We start from the raw sequence: 22,108 nt of genomic DNA on the forward strand, positions 1-22,108 counted from the left end.
CATGTTTATGAACTGATAGGGAAGATCCAATAGAGAAGAAAAAACTGAAGATGCAAAAAAGAGCAGTTAGAGCCAAGTTCTCAAATAGGCAAGAAAAGATGGGCTCGAAAGAACGACATGATTCATGTAACAGTTACTAGGACTCATCAGTGCTCATTAAATGTTATCTATTATTATTTCTGATCGCTTCAATTTTTGAATAGGCATCAGGGTTACAAAATATTATTATTAAAAACACATGCAAACAGCTTGGACTCTAAGACTGCATTCAATTCTAGTTCTACCACTTGGACAAGGCACTTTTTTTCTTCGGGCTTTTTCTCTGTAGAAAACGAGGAGTAATATCTGCCTCATAAGGCTGCGGGCTTAACTGAGATAATCTGTAAACTTTAACACATGGTGGGAACTTAAATATTAACGCCAGTATTACCACTGGTAGGGTGCATGAGATCGCACGATGGTGCCAAAGGTGTCTCTCCACCGCCCAGCCCAGCGACACTGTTCCCCTAGAAGGCATTGTCGTAAAAACAAAAAAAAAAAAAAAACGAACAAACAAAACACCAAAACACGGAAACTAAAAGCAAATACTTAAAAGACATGCAGGAAACCAGCCCAAGGAAAAATTTATGTGGAGCCACGTCTGCGCCTGCGCCTGCGCCAAGCCCACGGCGCGCCACTTGCACATGCGCAGTAGCTGTAGGAGGGGGTGGGCGCTCCATTGGGCGTTTCTCTTGGTTTTTCCTTTCCGCGCGGCTTGGGCGGACGTCTCGTGAGACGTGGGACTTCTCGCGGGAACTGCATTCAAATATCCCAGGCGCTTACTCGAGAGCTAGCTGAGCGAATGGGCCGGCGACTGTGGAGTTAGCGTCCTCAATGTGGACGCCCTGAGCTCCCATTAGGAGCCGCTGGCTGCGGCAGCAGGGGACTAGCGTGAGAGGTAGGGGCAAGGGGCCTGGTGGGAGGTGGGTGTGGAGAGCGGCAGTGGGGAGAGTCGAACAGGCCCTAAAGAAAGCTAGGGGCCGGGGTCTCGGCCGAGGCCTTTAGCTGAAACATCTCCTTCCCCGGAACCCTGGGGTCTTATACACTGGGTTCCGAGCCGGTCTTATCTTCCGCTGGACCACCTCGCCGCCCTCAGGGATTCTGGACAAATATGGAACGTTGGGTCGGTTGCCGGGTCCTCAAAATTATAACCGCCACTGGATCTGCGCTGTGCGGTACGGTAGCCTCTAGCCCGAACTAAGAAATGGTGCAGATGGGAGATACATATTGGGTTTCAGAGATAGCGCATAAGGAGTAATATCTCATTAATAATTTTTATAATGATTACATGTTGAAATGATGTTTTGAGTGTATTTGTTTAAATATGTAAATTAATTTTTCATCTTTGTTTACTTTTTAAATCATGATGGCTCCTAGAACATTTAAAATCACGTACATGACTCGCGTTATATTTCTGCTGGACAGCACTGCCCCAGCCGTGTGTCAGATTCTACCCTAATTGCTTTTCATTCGTTATCTCATTTAATCCTTTCAGTAACCGATTAGGTGGGTGTTATTGTGCTTGTTTTTATAGATGATTAAACCAGAAATTAAATAACTTGTCCAAGTTCATGCAGCCAGTGAGTAGTGGAGGCGGGGTAAGAACTCAGGCAGTTTGATTCCCAGAGTTTCCTGTGTCCCAAATGCTTTGTGTGTGCTATATTTTTGAGAAGCAGGACAGGAAAAATGGTTGCAGCACCATGGTTTCTAGGTAGATTCTAGTTCCCATCACACTTCGCGTCTTAACTTGCGGGTAACCCTAAGCAAGTTACTTAAAACTTTCTATGCCTCAGCTTGCATGTGTAAAATGAGGGAAATACCTTCAACCTCTTGAAGTTGTTGAGAAGATTGAATAAGAATGTGTATAAAGCGGCCGGGTGCGGTGGCTCACGCCTGTAATCCCAGCTACTCGGGAGGCTGAGGCAGGAGAATGGCGTGAACCCGGGAAGCGGAGCTTGCAGTGAGCCGAGATTGCGCCACTGCAGTCCGCAGTCTGGCCTGGGCGACAGAGCGAGACTCCGTCTCAAAAAAAAAAAAAAGAATGTGTATAAAGCACCAAGCACAATGTCTGTCACACATTAGTAGTTTTTAATCAACCACGGCTATCTCTCTTTGTAGATTGATAGGTTAACTCTTTCTCATCCATTAGACCTCTGCTGAAAAGTTACTTCCTCAGGAAAATTTTTTTGTCCATGTTCCCTTCTACGCGCTGCCCCCCAGATTAGGACAGCTCCCCCTTGTTACAGGCTCAGGTAGCATACATCTGTCTCTCTTGCACTTATCATACTTGTAACTTGATAGTTCAATTACTTGATTTAATGTCTTTTACTAATAGACTAGGATTCAAGAAGACAGGAATATTGTTTTAGGTTGCCATTGTGTTGTCAACACTAGCACAATGTCTCACACAATAAGAATTCCAGCAAATTTTTTGAATAAACTAAAGCAAATTTTTTTTGGCTTCTCTGGATATGCCTGGCTGGAATGTCTTGAGGTTAACCCTATTTTTATTTTGGTAGTTGAGATGACAGTATTTACTTAACTCAAGCTCATCAAGATAATTAGATGAGATAATATATTTGAAGCAGTTAGCATGGCAAATGGTAAATCCTCAACGAATGTAAGTTATTGTGAACAGTACAACATTTAGTTGGCTGGCCGTATCATGTACAGGCTTTGAAAAGGTCTTGCATTTTAGAGCAGTGACTGCCAAGCTGGGATTACCTAGAACACCTTTTTTTCTCTCTTAAACCCTGTATCTCTTCCCTTGTCTTCATTCTCAGTTAAAGACCTTGCTTCCTAATTCATTGATAAATTGAAGCAGTTAAAAGGTTACTTACACAGACTTCCACCACTGTACCTGCTTATCAGCATCTAAACTCATATACTTTGCTTAAATGAAATATCCATGCTTCTATTAAAACCAGTCTCTACATTAAACTTCATCCTGTTTATTCAGGGACATCACTAGCAATTCTCCAGTGTCTTCTAGATCATCAGTTTTTCTTCTCTCCTGGATTTATCCCATGACCTACAAACACTGTTATTTTTTTCCATCTTAAAAATAAAAAAACTTGTCCCTACTTCCTCTCCAACTGCTGCTCCGTTTATCCGTTATCCTTTGCAGCAAACCTGTGCTTGCTATCTTTATCTCCTACCATTCTCTCTTGAAGGCATTCTAGTTAGGCTTTCACCCCCACCTGGATATCAAAACTGTTCTTGTCACCAGAGACCTCCAGGAATTCAAGTTCAATGGCCAGTTCTCTGCTCTCACCTTAATTGCCTTAGCAGCAGCATCTGGCATGATTGATTACTCCCACCTCCTTAATACACTGTTTATTGCCTTCCAGGACAACACATACTCCTGGTTTTCCTTCTACCTCACTGGTCACTCCTGATTCTCCGCTGTCTTCTTCCCTACCTCATAACAGGGTTCAGTCGTTGGTCCATTTCTCTTTAAATACTTTTATCCTCTATAGACTGATAATTCTCAAATTTGCATATCCAGCCAAGATTCCTCTTCTCATATATCCAATTGCCTACTTGACATAGTTCATGTTCAAAACTCAAATTCCTGATTTTATTTCCAAAACATTATTTACATCAGTGCTTCAGCTGATGGCAATTCCATTTTACTAGGTGCTCAGGCCAGAAGACTTGGAGGCATTTTTTACTTTTCCCTTTTTCACACATCCCAAATTATATCTTTCAGAAAATCATATTGACCTTACCTTCAAAACCTTCAAAATCTGGCCATTTCTCACAGCCTCCTATGCTGCCACCCTAGTCTGAGCCATTTCACATGGTCTCTGCTTCCAGCCTTGTTCCCCTTCTAAACTAGTCAACATAGCAGCCAAAATGATTCTTTTAAATTATATCAGATCCTCTACTCCAGACTTTGGAATGACTTCCCATGTCACCCAAAGTAGGAGCCAAAGTCCTTATAATGGCCTGATTTGCCCACTCTCTACTATCTCTTAGCCAAATTTCACTCCCTGGGCTTCTTCCTGCCTTAAGGATTCCCCTCTTGCTGGAACATTCTTCTTCTAAATAGCTGCCTGGCTGATTCTCTCATCTTCTGCCTCCTGGTTACATCACCTGTCCCTTCTTCCCAGATTCTTATTCTGTTCTATTTTTTCTCATCTCCCCTTTCTAATTTATTAATATTCTGTTACTTACTGTTTATCTTCCCCTCCTGGAATGTAAGTTTCATGAGGGAGGAGCTTTTTTTTCGTCCATTTTGTTCCCTAATGAATCTGAACTGCCCAGAATGGAACCTAGTATATAAGGCATTCAAGAAATACTCGTTCAGTGAATGACTACATTGACTTGAGACATGGGGGAACATCTTGCAATGACCTGGTGCCCTTTGAAGGCAAAGGTGAGTTTGAGTCTCGCTTAGGAGGCTGGGACCAAATAGTAAAGGATAATTAGTAAGGTTGATTAAAGTGGAATGTTTCTATATATAATGTTTAAGTCTTTGTTTATAAATCTAGAATGAAAGCAACATCCTTTAATTCTTATGGATATGGTTTCTATTTTTGCATACTTTTATGAATAACTAGAAAAATACTAGTGAATCTCTTTCCAGGAAAGCAGATTTAATATATTCAGGAAGTTAACACTGTTGTGAAAAATTACAGACATGATATTTCTTACTTTACCTTATGAGCCTTATTCACAGCTGCCTTTTTATATTTTATGTGTTTATAGTACCCAGACCTTCCTTTTCTGGTGGTATTATTGTTATTATCATTATTATTTCTCAAGACAGTGTCTTGCTCTGTCAGTGCCATGATCATAACTCACTGAAGCCTCTAACTCCATCAATTTTCCTTCCTTAGCCTCCCAAGTAGCTAGGACTACGGGGGCTTGCCACCATCCCCACCTTATTTCTATTGATTGATTGATTGAGATGGAGTCTTGCTATGTTGTTCAGGCTGGTCTCGAATTCCTGGCCTCAAGTAATCCTCCCCAGTTGCTGGGATTACAAGCATGAGCCACCATACCTGCTACTATGAGGTTTCTTGATTACTTTTTTGTTATTCCCTTAATTTTGATTATATGGATAGTGGTCCAATTATGAGACCAAACTTACCTTAACATATTGGAAGCTTAGCATACAACAACTGAACAGTTTTCTGATGGTGAACTGTTTAGAAGCAAAATTAAATGTATTCTATTCCACTCTTTAATTTTTGATCCCAAATCAGTAACAGAATTGTCAGAACAGTTCTTGCTCTTGGAACAAGAATGCAAATTTGACTACTTATTAGTCAGGAAGAAAATTTTAATGTTTTTATACGACAGTAGTATTGAGTAGATATGTTTCTTCTGTTATTGATATTATTGCATGGAGTTTTTTGTATAAGCTTAAGTAGTTTTATTTCCTCTATTTACAGTTGGCTAAAAAAAAGAAAAGAACATGGAGGCAGATATAATCACAAATCTTCGATGCAGGCTCAAAGAGGCTGAAGAAGAGCGACTAAAAGCTGCACAGTATGGTTTACAACTAGTAGAGAGTCAAAATGAATTACAGAATCAATTGGATAAATGTCGTAATGAAATGATGACCATGACTGAGGTAGGACTCTGGACTCCTCTGTCTGCAAGAGTGTGCTTAGCTATTGAAGATTTGTCCTGTTTAGCAATTAATAGTAGTAGTAGTTTATTCTTTTCTGAAGATTTTAGATCTAGTTCCCGCCCTGCCCCGTCCCTGTTAAAAAAGAATGAACTAAATGAATTCCTGTTATTCTTTCCACCCTAGTGTATTCAGAGTTTGAAAGATCAAGTTATCATTACTCTCTTTGCCACATTTACTACCAGATTTTGCTTTGTCTGCACACTTCCTAGAAGACCTCACTTGTTTTAGACCTCTAAACATCTAAGTGCCCCATGACACTACACCAAGCCCTTAGTTCCCCCATGAAATCTAGGTTTGTGTTCAACTGCCCACTAATAGACTTCTCAAACTTAACACAGACAGAAGAGTGGATTCCCTGTCCGTTAACCAAATATTCTTTTACGATTTTTTTTAGCTTATTTAGTAAATATAATAGCATTCAGTTTCTTGAACACCAAAAATCTTTATATACCAAAGATTTTTGGTATATTTTTGGTTTCTTTATATACCAAAAATCTAGAACTTTTAGTCAATATCTTCCCTTTATTTCTCACATTTCACTCATTAATAAGTTCTAAGAACTAGACTACAAAGCATGTATCTTTGCTACTGGCACTGTAGTCCAGATCACCATCATCACTCCTAGACAAGTATTGTAGCCTTCTGGCCGGGTTGCCTGCTTCCATTGTTGCCATTCATGCCATTCATTCTTCACTCAGCGTCTAAGTGGTCGTGGAATAACACACCAAAGGTCATGCCACAGCCCTGCTAAAAACCATACAACAGCTTCTGATTTTATTTACAACAAAATCTGAGCTCCATCCTTGGGTTTGTAGATCCCTATGTGACCTGACCCCTGCCAAGCTTCTGACCTCACCTCAAACTGCTTTGCCTTGTTCTTGACTATACTGGTCCTCCCTTATGGGCTTTACACCAGCTATTGCCTTTTTTTTTTTTTTGAGTTGTTTACCCCTCACTGCTCTTGGGTTGAGTCCTCAGATTTCAGCTTTCATTTAAATGTCACTTCAGCGGAGAGGTCAGCCCTTACTATGTAATGTAAAGTTGCCCTGATTCACTTTTTTTTTCTTTTTTCTTTTTTTTTTTTGAAACAGGGTCTCACTCTGTCGCCCAGGCTGGAGTGCAGTGGCGCAATCTTGGCTCACTGCATCCTCCACCTCCTGGGTTCAAGAGATTCTCCTACCTCAGCCTTCCGAGTAGCTCGGGGTTACAGATGTGTGCCACCACATCCGGCTAATTTTTGTGTTTTTAGTAGAGATGGGGTTTCACCATGTTGACCAGGCTGGTCTTGAACTCCTGGCTTCACGTAATCTGCCTGCCGAAGTGCTGGGATTACAGGCATGAGCCGTTGTGCCCGGCCCTGATTCCACTCTTAATTATCTGCATTGCTAATTATCTCTAGATTATAAACTCCATGAGAGAGGGAATTTTGTATGCCTTGTTCACTATCCTGAATGCCTGCCACACGATTATTTCTTAAAAGAATGAATGAATAAATCTGGGTAATTTAGCAAATGCTCAGTAACATATTTAAACTTGAATCTCAACATTGTAAATATGGCAGGTAAAAAATATCTGTAGCAGGTAAAAATAACTAGTGATGGCAACCTTTGTGTTTCTACATAGTACTGTTGTAAACCAAGAACTGAGTGCAAAGTCATAAAGGCAAAGTAAAGATTACAAATATCACTAATAGAAAATAAAACTGTTATACTTAATCATTTTGAGTCATAACTTGTCAAATTTCAGTGTTTAACAGTTAATACTCTTTGTCTTCCTTTAAAATAAAATGGTTTTTGAGGGGAATATTTTATCATTTTTTAAAGCCTCTTGAAGGAGTTCGTACTTGTAACATTTTTAATGTCTAAACTTCCCTGTGAGTAAGCAAAAGCCCTTTTAATTACTCCTTTTGTCTCAGCTCTGCATTCATTCTGATAGACCTTTTGTGACATTTCTCAGATGACTACATTCTGAAAGTAAAGGCTAATTCAGTATTTCTTTTTTTTCAACTATTATTACTACTACATTGTGTTCAGAGCTACAAGTAGAGCATCTCATTATCAAACTAATAATTCTCATGAGGAAAGCTTAAGTGCTGTTAAATCTTTTTTTGTTGTTAGCAGAGATTACTTGACTTGACGTGTTGACATACCATGGAGCACATTTTACTTCCTTGACAAGGCACAGAAGCAGTAAGGTATCCCTTGCATGGGTTTAACATAGTTTCGAAATACACCTCAGGGGTTTATTAAGACTGATTAACTACAAAGTTATTCCAGGTTTAACATGTCTTCGTTATTTGGAAAGCAGCAAATGCTTGAAATAAGAATGAAACAATTGAAGTTGAAAACTGATTGTATGTAATGGCTTTAGGCTATTTTTATGTAATTGAATTGTAATTGAATCTGTTTTCAGAGTTATGAACAAGAAAAATATACCCTTCAAAGAGAAGTTGAACTCAAGAGTCGAATGTTAGAAAGTTTGAGCTGCGAATGTGAAGCTATTAAACAACAACAAAAAATGCACCTGGAGAAATTGGAAGAACAACTAAGCAGAAGCCATGGACAGGAAGTGAATGAACTAAAAACTAAGGTTGGGATATCTGCGTATTTCAGCACAAAATATTCCATATTTATGCAGCCATCTGTAAACTTTAGATGATAAAGATTTTCTTAAGTGTCAGCTTTGCAAAATAGCCAAGATCTAAGTCTTCATTATCTTAATATTGGGGGTGGGAACACTGAGATACAAGAGTTTGTCTAAGGGACTTGTATAAATTATATCCTATTAATTAAATACAATTATTTAATTTTGGTTGCTGGATATTTGTGAAGGTTTAGTTTAGTGACTAGCATGGCCTCCTTGCTGATAGTGGGTACAGCAGCCCCTTGCAGAAAGCCTCGTCTCCTAGCCTTCCCTGCAGTCAGTGGTATGCTTTGTAATTCTGTAAAACAGACCAGTAGTTTCTTACTAGTTAATGTGCATTACAAATGACACTTTATAGTTTGTTTACTGAGGATAAACTAATACATGTGCTCCAGTTCTTACAATAATATTGTGGAAAGGTACCATTATCATTTCCATATACCAGATGAAAGAGCCAGTGTTTAGACAGACTGAGTAAATTGGACACAATTCAAGAACTAGAAATTCTCCATCTAGGTTTGAACTGAGGCTGTCTGACTCCAAAGGCTGTGTTACTGAATCACTACATAGTCTAACAGCATGTTACACTGGCTCCATTTCAAACATAAACGCAAGATAAATGATTGGTCAGTGGTTTTCCCTTTTCCCAGCTAGCCAGTGCTTTCAGGTTGCTTCTGAGGAATCCAGAACTTTTTATCATGGATCTGCTTTGTGTATAGTCTATACTCTGACTTTTCCAGACACTGTCTACCAAAACTTGCCTGACTTTTGTCCTCCTTTCTCAGAAGTCTGTTACCCAATTTTCAGCTTCTTGTATAGCAGCCTCTAAGATTTTTCTTTTTCTGTATACCACCTATACTATTACTTAATTTCTCATTGACTCTCTTTTAATGTTTACTGATTTTAAGAAACATCAATGAAAGTATTTTTTTTTCCTTTTTTTTTTTTTTTTTTTTGAGGCAGAGTCTCACACTGTCGCCCAGGCTGGAGTGCAGTGGCATGATCTCGGCTCACCTGCAACCTCTGCCTCCCGGGTTCAAACGATTCTCCTGCCTCAGGCTCCTAAGTGGCTGGGATTACAGGTGTGCGCCACCACGCCCAGCTAATTTTTGTATTTTAATAGAGACAGGGTTTCACCATGTTGGTCAGGCTGGTCTCTAACTCCTGACCTCGTGATCCGCCCACTTCAGCCTCGCAAAGTGCTGGGATTACAGGCCTGAGCCACTGCGCCTGGCCAAAATTACATATTTAAGCTTGCTTATTTTTTCCCAGTATACACTAAAACAAACATAGCTATCTAAATATACCTTCATGTAATATATAATCATCTTGCATACCACTCTGACAGATAATATCATCCAGCTTGTCTGAAACTAGTCGGATTTGAGGCCCTAATGACTGATAATGATGTGCTTTCTTCCCCCTCTGGTTGTTATTTTTATTTTTGCAATAGTTTTCATCACCTAAACAAAAAAGAGTAATAAAGGGAGTATTCAGGACTGAGGTAAGGCTAATTATAGAGATGGCTTTTTTTTTTTTTTTTTTTTTTGGTGGAGCAAAGAGTACATTAGTGAAATATTTTGTTTTACTGATTTTCTCAAATCACTTATGCCAAAATTTGGATTTTTTTAATACCTTTTCTTCTCTTATTTTTCACATTTAATTCATCAAGTTCTAAGAACTTGACCTACAAAACATCTATGACGCTACTGCCACTCCAATCCAGACCTTCATCATCTCTTTCCTGGACTACTGCTGTAGCCTTCTGACCAGGTTGCTTGCTTCCATTGTTTCTCTTCATGCCAGTCATTCTTCACACAGTAGCCAAGTGGTCCGCATCATAGTGCCTCCAGATTGCTTCTGAGGCATCCAGACCCACCCCGATTACTCATGGATTATTTCTATGTTTATTAAACAAGGTGTGTCACTAGCTGTTAAAAGATGCCTAACCTTGGGCAAATAGGAAACTCCAATAGTATCATCATTCAGTAAGTTTGGTTCAATCAGTTCAATCAGTGATTGTTTTTAGAAAGAAAATAACTTTCAATTTATGACTTTTTTTTTTTTGGCTTTAGATAGAAAAACTGAAAGTGGAATTAGATGAAGCCAGGCTTAGTGAAAAGCAGCTGAAGCACCAAGTAGATCATCAGAAGGAACTCCTCTCTTGTAAATCAGAGGAACTGCGCGTAATGTCTGAACGTGTGCAGGAAAGCATGTCTTCAGAGATGCTGGCTCTTCAAATTGAGCTGACAGAAATGGAGAGTATGAAGGTAATTTTTATGGCATGTGTTTCTCAGGGTTTTCTCTTTTTTTTTCTGGCATATTTTTACATGTTTTGGTAATAATTCTTAAGAGCTAGTTTGAAGGCTGAAACATTTTTTGACCTAACTTGCATCTAACTAATTAAAAAATGGGTTTTTTTTAGGTGGATGACTTCATTCATAATATAGCTTTAGACTATATGATTATGTAAGGCAGCCTTTCTCTTAGATTAATGAAACGTCTGGAAGAATTTAGAGGCATATACTCTGATCCCAGATTTTATCGTAAGAGCCCAGTGTAAAACGTTGGCTCAGTGGAAGTTGAAATGCATGTGAACTTGGTTTTTTCATTGAAAGCTAAGGTTAATTAAAAATTAAAGCCTGAAATTGATAGAGGAAAAAGGGCAGTCTCTAAAGCCATTTGTTTCCTTGTTGAAAAATTTAACAGTAATAGTAATTTCTATTATTTTAGAATGTACCTGACAACTTTTGACTGGTTCTTTAGTTTTAATTTTGGATGTGAACCACAACTGAGATAAACTGAGCAGCTGCCAAATGAAAGATTATTCAAGAGAATTTCCTCCTTTTCAATTCCTGTTAAATAGACCACCCTCAAAGAAGAAGTGAATGAACTACAATACAGACAAGAACAGCTAGAACTTCTTATTACTAACCTAATGCGCCAGGTAGACCGGCTTAAAGAGGAAAAAGAGGAGCGAGAGAAAGAAGCAGTTTCTTACTATAATGCCCTAGAGGTACTATGATTACAGTAACATCATGTTTTCCAATTTATCATAACTTATTTTCTTGCTAATGTAATCTCTGTTGCCTAAATTGTTTTCTTTTGAATTTAGAAAGCTCGTGTAGCAAATCAAGATCTTCAGGTACAGTTGGACCAGGCACTCCAGCAAGCCTTGGATCCCAATAGTAAAGGCAACTCTTTGTTTGCAGAGGTACTTATAAGTATCCTAACTACTAAATTGGTATTTTCATTTACTACCAGAACAATTAAGCATGTTAATATTTTGTAGGTGGAAGATCGAAGGGCAGCAATGGAACGTCAGCTCATCAGTATGAAAGTCAAGTATCAGTCACTAAAGAAGCAAAATGTATTTAACAGAGAACAGATGCAGAGAATGAAGGTATAGAACTTTCACTATCAAAGGTTTATTAAACAAATTTTGTGTCAGCATTACATGTATGAATACATCAAAGAAACTAGCTTTTTCTGCAAGGAGTGTACTTATATAGTTGTTTCTAGAACTGCATGATTTCAAAAAATCAATTTTGAAATTAAAAGATTCATTTATAGTTTAAAAATCTTGGAATAAATATTTAGTAATAGTATATTTAGCAATGATTATTGTTTGTTTTAATGGTTACTCACTAGCTTTGACTTAAATCTTTCTTTGTGGAGTAGAAGAAAGAAAAGTATTTATTTCTTATTCTTGGCCTGATGTCTTTCCAAGCATAGCCCTAGGGTTCCTACTTCAGCTGAAACTCGCTGCCTCACCATTCCTCTGCTCTTTCACCAAGGCTTATTATGGAGTGAAATTTGGATTATTCAGGGTTCCCTTTCCTTGTAGCTCCTCAAGTCAAGCACATAGACCCTTTTAATTTTACGGGTTTTGTTGGTTGTCATTCTAGCCAAATAAGAGGTAGCAGAAAAACATGTGGGAATTAGAAAGATTTCAGTATTGTAACAGTCCTTAGAATCCTGATCCCTCATCCATTGTGCCTCACTCTACTGAGGTAGTAATTGGAATCTGGAAAGGCTTCCTTCCTTTTATTCAGAATCATGGGCTTTGCCAAAGAAATGGGAAAGGTTAATGATTAAATTTGGGAGTTAGGTGGATTTGGGTTTGAATCATAGTTTTGTCACTTGCTAGCTCTGTGACCTTGGACAAGTATTTTAACTTTGAAAGCAACAGTACCTCATCTATTAAGTGAAGATGATAGAACCCCCTCTTAGAATTGTCCTACAGTTAAATGAAAGTGTAGTAAAATACTTAACCTGCTACTTGGCAAATGAGTGTTTAATGAACAACAGCTGTGAATTTTATTTCTAAGGGTTTCCAGACTGTGCTGCCTCATTTCCTGAGACTCTCCCCTGTCTGGGAAGTATTTCTTTATAAATTTTCTCACGTTTACTTTAGTTTTCTTACAGTATTTGTTGGGGTTACTTTTAATCTACCAATGTTGCATATGTCCCAAACTATCTTTAGAGACTAGAAGCATTCTGAGTCTTAGGCTAAGTGGGCCTAGCCTCCAATCTGAAACAGGAACAAAAAGGATATCCTTTAAAATGTTAAAAGTCATCTGCAACCTCATATCATTGATTGTTTTACTCAAAACTATATTTAAACTAATAGGCACTCTTTTCAACTCCAGAAATTTCCAAAGGCAGAAAGAAATGCTAGATTTAGAGTCTACTTAATTTCCCTCTGGTAGCTTCACAACTCCAGATTTGGGGTGGGGGAGGTATAATGAGGTAAGTTGAGTGCTGCTCTAAAAAAATTAAAACATGGTATATTGAAGATTACCCCAGTATACTAAGATAGCCTTTTATCTTTGCTTTTAACGTCATTTGTGAATCTAACATTTGTGGCTGTCAGTAGCTTAGTTTTCCTCACTTAATTAAAGTTAATTAAAAATTTTGAGAAACCCATCAGAACCTTAATAAGAGCGAGTGCTTATGATAAGCAGTCTGCAGCGTTTGGCCAGGCTTACTTACCAGTTCAGTGGTGTGCTTTCAGACCACAGCCATGCAAGTCAGTTTTATGTTTCACAAAAGTACAAATAATTACATTACAGACTTCAGTTATCATTCATAAGTAGTCAAAATAAGTATTCAAATGTTATGTCTACAAAAAAATTTATTATTAGATTAGAAATAGCTAATTTAGTTTCCAAAATGAGTTCAAAGTAATATAGTACAAATTATGAATTGTATCAAAAAAGTAGTTATCAGAATCTTTCTCTCACTTAATTTTATTAGAGGGGGTAATTTTATTTTTCTAGTTACAAATTGCCACGTTGCTACAGATGAAAGGGTCTCAAACTGAATTTGAGCAGCAGGAACGGTTGCTTGCCATGTTGGAGCAGAAGAATGGTGAAATAAAACATCTTTTAGGTGAAATTAGAAATCTGGAGAAATTTAAGGTATGTATAACAGTTAAAAAAACACACATCCAAATTTTGATTTGAATATCTTAAAATTTGGTTTGTTTTTTAAGTTTAAATTATTAATAAATATCTTGTGGGAGATACTTTGAGACTAAGTAAATGGCTGTTTCTCCTTATACTTAAACATCCATTGGTGATTCTTGCCTGAAACATAATTCTGTGATGATTGCTAAATGGGTAATTCCATCACTTCTTCTATATTTATTAGTTGGAATTTTAGTAAAGGGACAGAAAAGAAAAATCTTTTTCCTCACTTACTCATTCATTTATATCAGTATAGCCTCATGGATTCTTATTTTATCCTATGAGTTATAATCCATTGCTTGCTTTATTTACTCTGATACTCAAATTGTCCCAGATTTGATAGTCGAAGTGCTCTTACTTGAATATTTCCTTACTCTATGGCACAACAAGGGTTTCCTAGCTCACCTGGCCCACTTCTGGGATTAGCATTTCTTCAAGGAACATTGGTTTATTTTAGTTGAGAATGGTATTTGTGTAAGCATTTGTGTGTGTGTGTGTGTGTGTGTGTGTGTGTGTGTAAGAATTCACCCATGTTTTCTAAATAAGTAGGCAGTTGTCCCAGAGTCATTTGTTAAAAAATCAATCTTGATCCCAGTGATTTGAGTTGACACCTTTATCATACATCAAGTTTCCATATATACTTGAGTCTGTTTCTAAATTTTCTGTCTACGCCATTGGTCTGCTTCTCTGTGTGTCTGTACCACACTGTTTTATTAATTATAAAGGCTTTTAAGTATGTTTATCTGGTAGGACTATTTCCTCACTATACTTTTTATTTTTCAGTATTTTCCTGTCTATTTTTGAATGTTAGCTTTCATTTACAAACATCTTGTCTAGCACCAAAAAAAGCTTGTTGGCTTTCTATTAAAATTGCATGCAATTTAAGATTTTATAAATTGACTTAGGGAACATTGATATCTTCATTAACCTCCTAATGAACTAAAGTTCTAAATGACAAATTTTTGTAAATGTTAATAACCTCTTAGGCATTCTAAATTGTAGCCATTAGTATGTCATAAAATCTTAATTAAGTTTACATAACTTTATTTCTGTGTCTTATAAAAACTGTTGAAAGAACTACAAATTTGGTTAAGTTGGCAGCCTTATGTTTCCATCAGTGGGCTCAGAACTATACTCTGAAAATTATGGCCTTAAATCAGGGGAATTTTATTTATAACCTGAAATTGTTTCAAGTTTTTAAGCAGATTTACCTTTTCTATCCCACTAGAGAAATGTATAGTTTCCATCAGTCTCAGAAGAGCTTGCACTACATTCTTGCCTGGGGTGGGGGGAAGAATCTCAGAAGAGGGGGACACCAGATATAAATGTAAGGCTCTCATCTTCCTTTCATATTTTTCCAGTTTATGGTTTTGTTACAAAGGCCAGAATTTAATCCAGCAGGCATTTGTTTTTCTATTTTCAAAGCCAGGAGAGAGAAGGCAGAGCATGTAGGTAAGGCTAGAAGCCTAGGCCTTGTAGTCAGATTTGGGTTCAGGTTCTCTCTTCTTGGTTTACTTTCATCTGTATTCGGAGCCTGTTTCCTTATCTGTAAGAGAGGAATGTTAATTATTTACCTACTTCAGAAGGCAGATAAATTAAATGGGTAGTTCTTAGCGTAGTACGCCAAGGGATATAAATTCAGGAAGTGATGGTGCTATTATTAATAAACATACACTAACCTTATTTGTTATTTATTTTAAGTAATACAAACTTTTGCTTTTTTAAGAATTTATATGACAGTATGGAATCTAAGCCTTCAGTCGACTCTGGTACTCTGGAAGATAACACCTATTATACAGATTTACTTCAGATGAAGCTGGATAACTTAAAGTAAGTGTCTGGGTTGGTGGATGGAAAGATGAACATGTCACTTGCTTACTATGGTAGTGTCAGTGACTACAAAGTTTTTTTGAAATTGCCAAAGGAAATTTTCCGAAAAGAAAGGTAACAAAAATATCTTTGTGCAGATATTCATGTGTGAATACATTTGAAAGACTATTTCCTCCTTTGTCCATTTCCTTTCAAGAATGCATGAGTATTTTTTAAATTTAACACTACTATTGTTAAGGATTATTTAAATTGTTTATTGTTTCTTTGTTACTAAAAACCCCAGAAAAATGTATTTTTAACTAAGAATTCAAATATGCGATGAAATATTTATACCACTACACTTATTATATGCTGTCTTAATACTCGTTGGTTCTCCTTTTTTATTATCATAGCAAAGAAATTGAAAGCACTAAAGGTGAATTGTCCATACAGCGAATGAAAGCATTATTTGAGAGCCAGCGGGCTCTAGATATTGAGCGAAAACTTTTTGCAAATGAAAGATGCCTCCAGCTTTCAGAAAGTGAAAATATGAAACTGAGAGCTAAACTAGATGAATTGAAACTAAAATATGAACCTGAAGGTATATATGTCTCATATATTTTTGTCTTTTAAATTATGAGTAACCTGAAATTATATCAAATTATTTTCTTACTGTAGTTTTATGCAACTCTATTACAAACTCATTTGTAGTTATATACCTATAGTTAATAAAGCAAATTTATTGTGTAAAATAGGTAGGAAAATTCAGGGAGAACTGGATACTGGGTGTGCCTGAATATAACATGTATCCTTTTTGGATATCTAATTTCATCATACTGTATAGTAGAAACTTGAGATTTGAGACTTTCCCATTTTAAGATTACAGTATTTTATGTCATACCTAATAGTTTAATTATGTTGAAGCAGCTGATGTTTGGAAGCTATACGAGGTAGGACTGTTTATAGAAAATCTAAAGTAATGGAGACTTTAAAAAGGTGGGTCTTTATCTCTGCCTCTGATGGAAGTCTGGAGGAGGCCTTCCAGGACTGGGAAAGCACTCCACGGTATCAAGATTCAGGCTTCTTGTGTTTGTTGGTCTGCTGCCATCCTGTGGAGCAGAATTTAGTCATGCAGCCTCACCTGCTGACAGGAAGGGCTGAGAAATGCAGTCTTGATTCTCAGGGGCCATGTTCCTAACTAAATATTGGGAATTCTTTTATTAAGGAAGAACAGTGAGCCAGGCGTGGTGGCTCGTGCCTGTAATCCCAGCTCTTGGGGAGGCAGAGGGAGGAGGATAGCTGTGCCCAGGAATTTGAGATTTGCTTGGGCAATATAGCAAGACCCCATTCTCCACCAAAATGGGGGGGAAAGGAAAGAACAATGAAACATATTAGGGAATATCTAGCAAGTCTAATGACTGAGCTGGAAAGTAGCCTAACCATACAGTCTCTGCATCTTATATACTACAGAGAGTGAAGTTTACTGTATGTAAATTCAAAAACAAAAGGCCAAGTGTGAAGGAGTCTAAGAATGTGATGGTTCTACAACACCCCTTCCCTAAAAGAGTGTTACATGTTTTAGGTTAAGGATTCTCAACAAGTTTTTGTCCCCGCACTCTGCACATGCCTCAGTCTCTCTTCGTATTGTCTCAGTGAACTGCTATGATTCTCAACAATAGTGGGGAGGTTGCCAAAAATAGGAAGGTTTTTACACAATTTTAAAAGGCTTCTCTTGCTCTTAACTCTTTTTGTTTCTTCCATGATTCTAATAGGCTCCCCTGATTAAGAATTATCCATTATGAATTTCAAACATCTGTTGAACTGAACACAGCAAATAGACAGGAGGCAGGGTAGTGAATCCTGATAATGTGGGTTTCAAAGGAGCAGTGCCAGAAAAAGGGGAAATCATGGTCTAAAAGCAACAATGTAGAGCAAAAACAGCAACCCCTTGTGCTACCAGTGTTCCTCAGACTCCACTAACATTTTGATTTTGAAAATGAAACACATCGATAATGGGCATAGGGAAAAGATATTAGAGCAGTTAATTCAGTGGCTGTGTTTATGACCTGTTTAGATAGAATGATATTAGGCCATGAGGATAGAAGGCATTGCAGTAGTCTTTGATGAGACATGATAGGATTGGACTAGGGAAGTATCCATCATAAAAGTAGTCTGATTCTGCTTATATTTTGTAGGTAGAGCTAACAGGCATATATTACCAATATTCAGAAAGTTTGGCCTATTCTTGTCATTTAATCCTTCTAATACACAATACCAAGTGAAGTGGGTGCTTTTAATCCCCATTTTACAGATAAAATGAAGCTCAGAGAGGTTAAATAATTCCCCAAAGACATGGCTGTCACATACGAGGATTAGGATTCGAACCTGGACTCTGCCGCTGTCTCTTCATCTCCACACTGAGATCTTATGAACCACCTTTTTCAAAACACCAAGAGAGAACAGTGAAGCATTCATGCCTAAAGTCAAAATATTGAATTCCCAAGGAAAAATATATAGCCAAATAAACTTTAAAATATATAGTTTATATAGATTCCATGATAAAGAATAAAAGGTAGAAACAAAGGATGCATTTCAGTGAGGAGATGGTTGCATTTTAAAAGAATGGAAAAAGGTATACATATAACTAGTTCTGGCTTCTTGTGTTGATTGTGTCTTTGTTTTCTTAGATTTTTTCTTTTCCCCACTCGTTTTTATTCTCAGAGACAGTTGAAGTGCCTGTACTGAAAAAGAGGCGTGAGGTGCTCCCTGTGGATATAACCACCGCTAAAGATGCATGTGTCAACAACAGTGCTCTCGGGGGAGAAGTTTATCGATTACCGCCTCAGAAAGAGGAGACACAGTCCTGCCCTAACAGTTTAGAAGATAACAACTTGCAATTAGAAAAATCAGTTTCTATATACACACCAGTAGTCAGTCTCTCTCCTCACAAAAATCTGCCCGTGGATATGCAGCTGAAGAAGGAAAAGAAATGTGTGAAACTCATAGGAGTTCCCGCTGACGCTGAGGCCTTAAGTGAAAGAAGTGGAAACACCCCTAACTCTCCCAGGTCAGTGTCCTCTTTTCCTCCAGGCAGCCAGCAGACCTCTCCATCTCTCCTCTCTCGCTGCATGAACTGTGCTGTCTGTTTCTTTATCTACTTTCTTACAATTGCATGCAGTATAATTCCTCAGTTTCATCTACCTACCTTCAACTTTTCCAGAACTTTAAGAAAGACTAAACTGATTGCAAAGGGAAAGGACTCTTGAATAAGGCAATCACATTAAAAAGTTACACGTTTCTGTTTCATGAAAGGGAATATCACAGTTTAACACATCTCTGAATGTTTTATCAGTTTGAATACATGTACTGTTATTTTTCTCCTGGTTCAAGCATGGCCATGAAAGAAAAATTAACTTACTTTCTCAAAGGGCTTTCCAGTAGTCTAAGAAATTTCAGCCTTCTAGGAAACTTAGGTGAATTTTTTATGTCTTTTGAATTGCTTATCCTAGGCATTCAAAAATGGGCTTCAATACTTATTTTGACATTTTTACATATCAAAGCTAACTCATTTTCATTGTTTCCAAAACTTGAAAGCCTCTAGTTTCTGCATAATTGAGTTTGTGACTAAAAGAAATAGCGTCAGATATGTGTGTCTGAAGGAATTAATGTCCCAAGGGCTTTGTCTTAATAAAAATAATTGAGGTCAGAAGGTAAGAGAAAGTGAATGGAAGGGAAAGGTAAGTAGCAGTGGCTGAGGCTCGAGTTCTGGATGTGCGCAGCAGGAGAAGTGAATGAGGAAATTGAAGAAAGTAAAAGAAAGATGAAGGATGTCTGCATGCAATGGGATTGTTAGAGGCATTTAAAACAAATATCTAGACATTCAAAAAGATGTGCCAATAACTAGCCTAGATTATCTCCTATGAAATGAGATGTTGAAGGTGCTACTAGGGCTACCTTAGTCTTAGAGAGTGGAGACAGATTAATAAGACATTTTACTAATGTGCATTTGAGTAGAGAGAGTAAGACAGCCCTGTTTAAAAGGGCTTATATGTTTTATCTGATTTCTCTCCAAGTCTTCAGTGCTACTAAATGTAATATTCAACAGTAAAAGCACTTTAACAATGTTAGCTGCTATTATTATAAGGCATAGTAATTTTATTACTCCCTCCTTGGATTTTTATAGAATGTTATAACCTCTGAGTCACATAAAATAAAAGCTTACCATTCTTAAGGAAAAAGTAACTTCAAATGAGTATCTGCCACATACCCATGGTTTCAAAGAGTTCTGAAATGAATCCAGCAGATTATGCCTGTTTATATGTGATGCATTGTATAAACATCCTTGACCAGTGTATATTTCTGGAGGTGGATTTCCAGAATTGATAAGTGCCAGCCTTGCTATCTGTATTGTCTTCATTCCTTTTTCTGCCTTTTTTTGCTTGATAAAAAATCACTTAAGCAAATGTATGTGGCTAATTGACTCAAGTAGCACGTTGGAAACTTTTTGTCTTGTTCGTTAAACAAAAAATAAAATACCACAAAACATTTGTGTGTGTGTGTGTGTGTGTGAGTCCATCTGCTAACTTAAAATGTTTCCGACTCTTTGTTTTCTGCCTGTTTAACTTAGATACACAATCCTAAGATAATTTTGGAACAATAAATATGGCTTTTATTGGGAACTTCACTATTGCATGCTTTACAAAACTAATTGGTGTTCTTGTTACCGAGAATCTTTACAGGCCTTTAAGAATCTCTCTACTGTTTATCTTTTCTTTATTCTACTAGTTGAAACTCAATTTTTTAATATGAAACAAATAGACATCTATTCATGCAGCCCAAGATTCCATGTTATTTTTGTCTTGCCTTTTGTATGTCATGTTAACATTAAAATATTGCTGTAACATTTCAGTTTTTGTGTTAGGTGTGCTTATCATGATAGGTGCCCTGTCATATTTTCTTTAATTTAGGGCTTGCCATGACTTTTTAAAGATATTCTTTAGACTTAAAAAATAATTGGCCCAGCGTGGTGCCTCACACCTGTAATCCCGGCACTTTGGGAGGCTGAGGCAGGTGGATCACGAGGTCAAGAGATCAAGACCATCCTGACCAACGTGGTGAAACCCTGTCTCTACTAAAAATACGAAAATTAGCTGCATGTGGGGGTGCGCACCTATAGTCCCAGCTACTCCGGTGGCTGAGGCAGGAGAATCGCTTGAACCCGGGAGGCGGAGGTTGCAGTGAGCCGAGATCATGCCACTGCGCTCCAGCCTGGTGACAGAGTGAGACTCTGTCTCAAAAAGTAATAATAACAATAATTGAGCCTATTGATATAAAAAGACTTTTAGACAGCCAGTGACTTAATATTCTTACAGTATTAGAGTCAACTATATTTTTTTTCCTTGAATACCATGCCTTATTGGAGGCCCATTATACTGGGGGTTTGTTTCTTCAATCCTTCATAACCACATTTGAATTCAGAGTGGATGCTTTAATGCCTGTAGGTTAGCTGCTGAATCAAAGCTTCAAACAGAAGTTAAAGAAGGAAAAGAAACTTCAAGCAAATTGGAAAAAGAAACTTGTAAGAAATTACACCCTATTCTATATGTGTCTTCTAAATCTACTCCAGAGACCCAGTGCCCTCAACAGTAAAGACTTGTCTTTAATAAGAGTACGGTGCCACTTGCCTCAAAAGTTACTATGGTGCTTAAGATTGTCTTGATCTGACATATATCACCTTCTGGGTTATTTACTCATTGTGCCAGGACCTGGCATTTTCATGTGCCTTTGACCAAGTGTTCAGAATTTGCTTGACTCTAACCTGGAGAGCTTCTTAAGTGATGCCCCTTCATGGAGCTTCTATGACAGTGAATAAACTATTAATTGAAGGAAAATGTTATAATTAATGTATCTATTTGCTGCATTGTATATGGATTAAATGATAAAAAACAAGTAATCTACCCTCAGAGCCATGTATTTGAGAATGCTTCAATCATATTTTCCTATGTACTTTTTTTTATAAACTTAGTTTTAGACTATGTTGTAAAAATGGGAAGGTTGTAAACTATGTTGTAAAAATAGGAAATGTGGCTTAAAATATATACATTATATTGTTTCAGGATTTTGTCAGTGTTTAAAGAACCAATGTTCATCTTTGTATTTATATACATGATTTAAATTTTGTCTAAAATTTTAAATAAAACTGCAGTGATTTATCCTTAAATTTCTTACTCTCTATAGGTAACAGGATGTTATCAAAAGGGAGTAAAAAGCACTTTGGGAGGCTGAGGCGGGTGGATCGCTTGAGCCCAGGAATTCGAGACCAGCCTGGGCTACATGGCAAAACCCCATATCTACAAAAAAATACAAAAAATTAGCTGGGCATGATGGTGCACACCTGTAGTCCCAGCTACTCTGGAGGCTGAGGTGATAGGATCATCTGAGCCCAGTAAGGAGGTCGAGGCTGTAGTTGAGCTGTGATCATACTACTGCACTCCAGCCTGGG

General features: G+C 37.5%; 1 protein-coding gene and 1 long non-coding RNA gene across 16 annotated transcripts in view, besides 1 other annotated feature; one reads left to right on the forward strand and one right to left on the reverse strand.

The window, feature by feature from the left end:
- LOC105377714 (uncharacterized) overlaps positions 1-709 on the reverse strand; it is a 126,055-nt gene extending 125,346 nt beyond the window's left edge. For 2 of the 3 annotated variants that reach the window (XR_941200.3, XR_941199.3), the window contains exon 1: positions 431-709. This is a non-coding gene — a long non-coding RNA (uncharacterized LOC105377714). The remainder of the gene's footprint in view (positions 1-430) is intronic. The other variant, XR_941198.3, reaches the window with a different exon arrangement.
- Positions 448-1,448: an enhancer, noted in NCBI's record as "NANOG-H3K27ac-H3K4me1 hESC enhancer chr5:169010404-169011404 (GRCh37/hg19 assembly coordinates)". NCBI's record gives its function as "activates a minimal SCP1, AML or CMV promoter by ChIP-STARR-seq in naive and primed H9 embryonic stem cells {active_cell/tissue: H9 hESC(naive and primed)}" and the evidence as "EXISTENCE:reporter gene assay evidence [ECO:0000049][PMID:30033119]".
- On the forward strand, positions 821-21,826 carry SPDL1 (spindle apparatus coiled-coil protein 1). Of its 13 annotated transcripts, none has more exons than XM_047417344.1 (13): positions 821-937; positions 4,247-4,420; positions 5,442-5,623; positions 8,096-8,272; positions 10,402-10,596; positions 11,193-11,342; positions 11,442-11,540; positions 11,619-11,729; positions 13,609-13,749; positions 15,524-15,627; positions 16,020-16,207; positions 18,328-18,673; positions 21,108-21,826. In XM_047417344.1, the coding sequence occupies exons 3-13, from the start codon at positions 5,465-5,467 to the stop codon at positions 21,253-21,255; spliced, it is 1,818 nt and encodes a 605-aa protein (XP_047273300.1). In that variant the 5' UTR covers positions 821-937; positions 4,247-4,420; positions 5,442-5,464; the 3' UTR covers positions 21,256-21,826. The 13 variants fall into 13 exon arrangements, with proteins under 13 accessions (XP_047273300.1, XP_047273301.1, NP_001316572.1 ...); XM_047417345.1 differs by having other exon boundaries at positions 4,309-4,420; NM_001329643.2 differs by lacking the exon at positions 4,247-4,420 and adding an exon at positions 7,801-7,877.

Source organism: Homo sapiens, chromosome 5, assembly GCF_000001405.40.
Source record: "Homo sapiens chromosome 5, GRCh38.p14 Primary Assembly".
Taxonomy (NCBI): Eukaryota; Metazoa; Chordata; class Mammalia; order Primates; family Hominidae; genus Homo; species Homo sapiens.

Bases quoted from the DNA above. Each gene is read 5' to 3' on its own strand.
- SPDL1 (NM_001329639.2), top strand. From the start codon at position 5,465: ATGGAGGCAGATATAATCACAAATCTTCGATGCAGGCTCAAAGAGGCT. The intron at 11,343-11,441 runs GTACTATGATTA...TTTTGAATTTAG, and splicing joins CTTACTATAATGCCCTAGAG to AAAGCTCGTGTAGCAAATCA. The intron at 15,628-16,019 runs GTAAGTGTCTGG...TTATTATCATAG, and splicing joins ATGAAGCTGGATAACTTAAA to CAAAGAAATTGAAAGCACTA.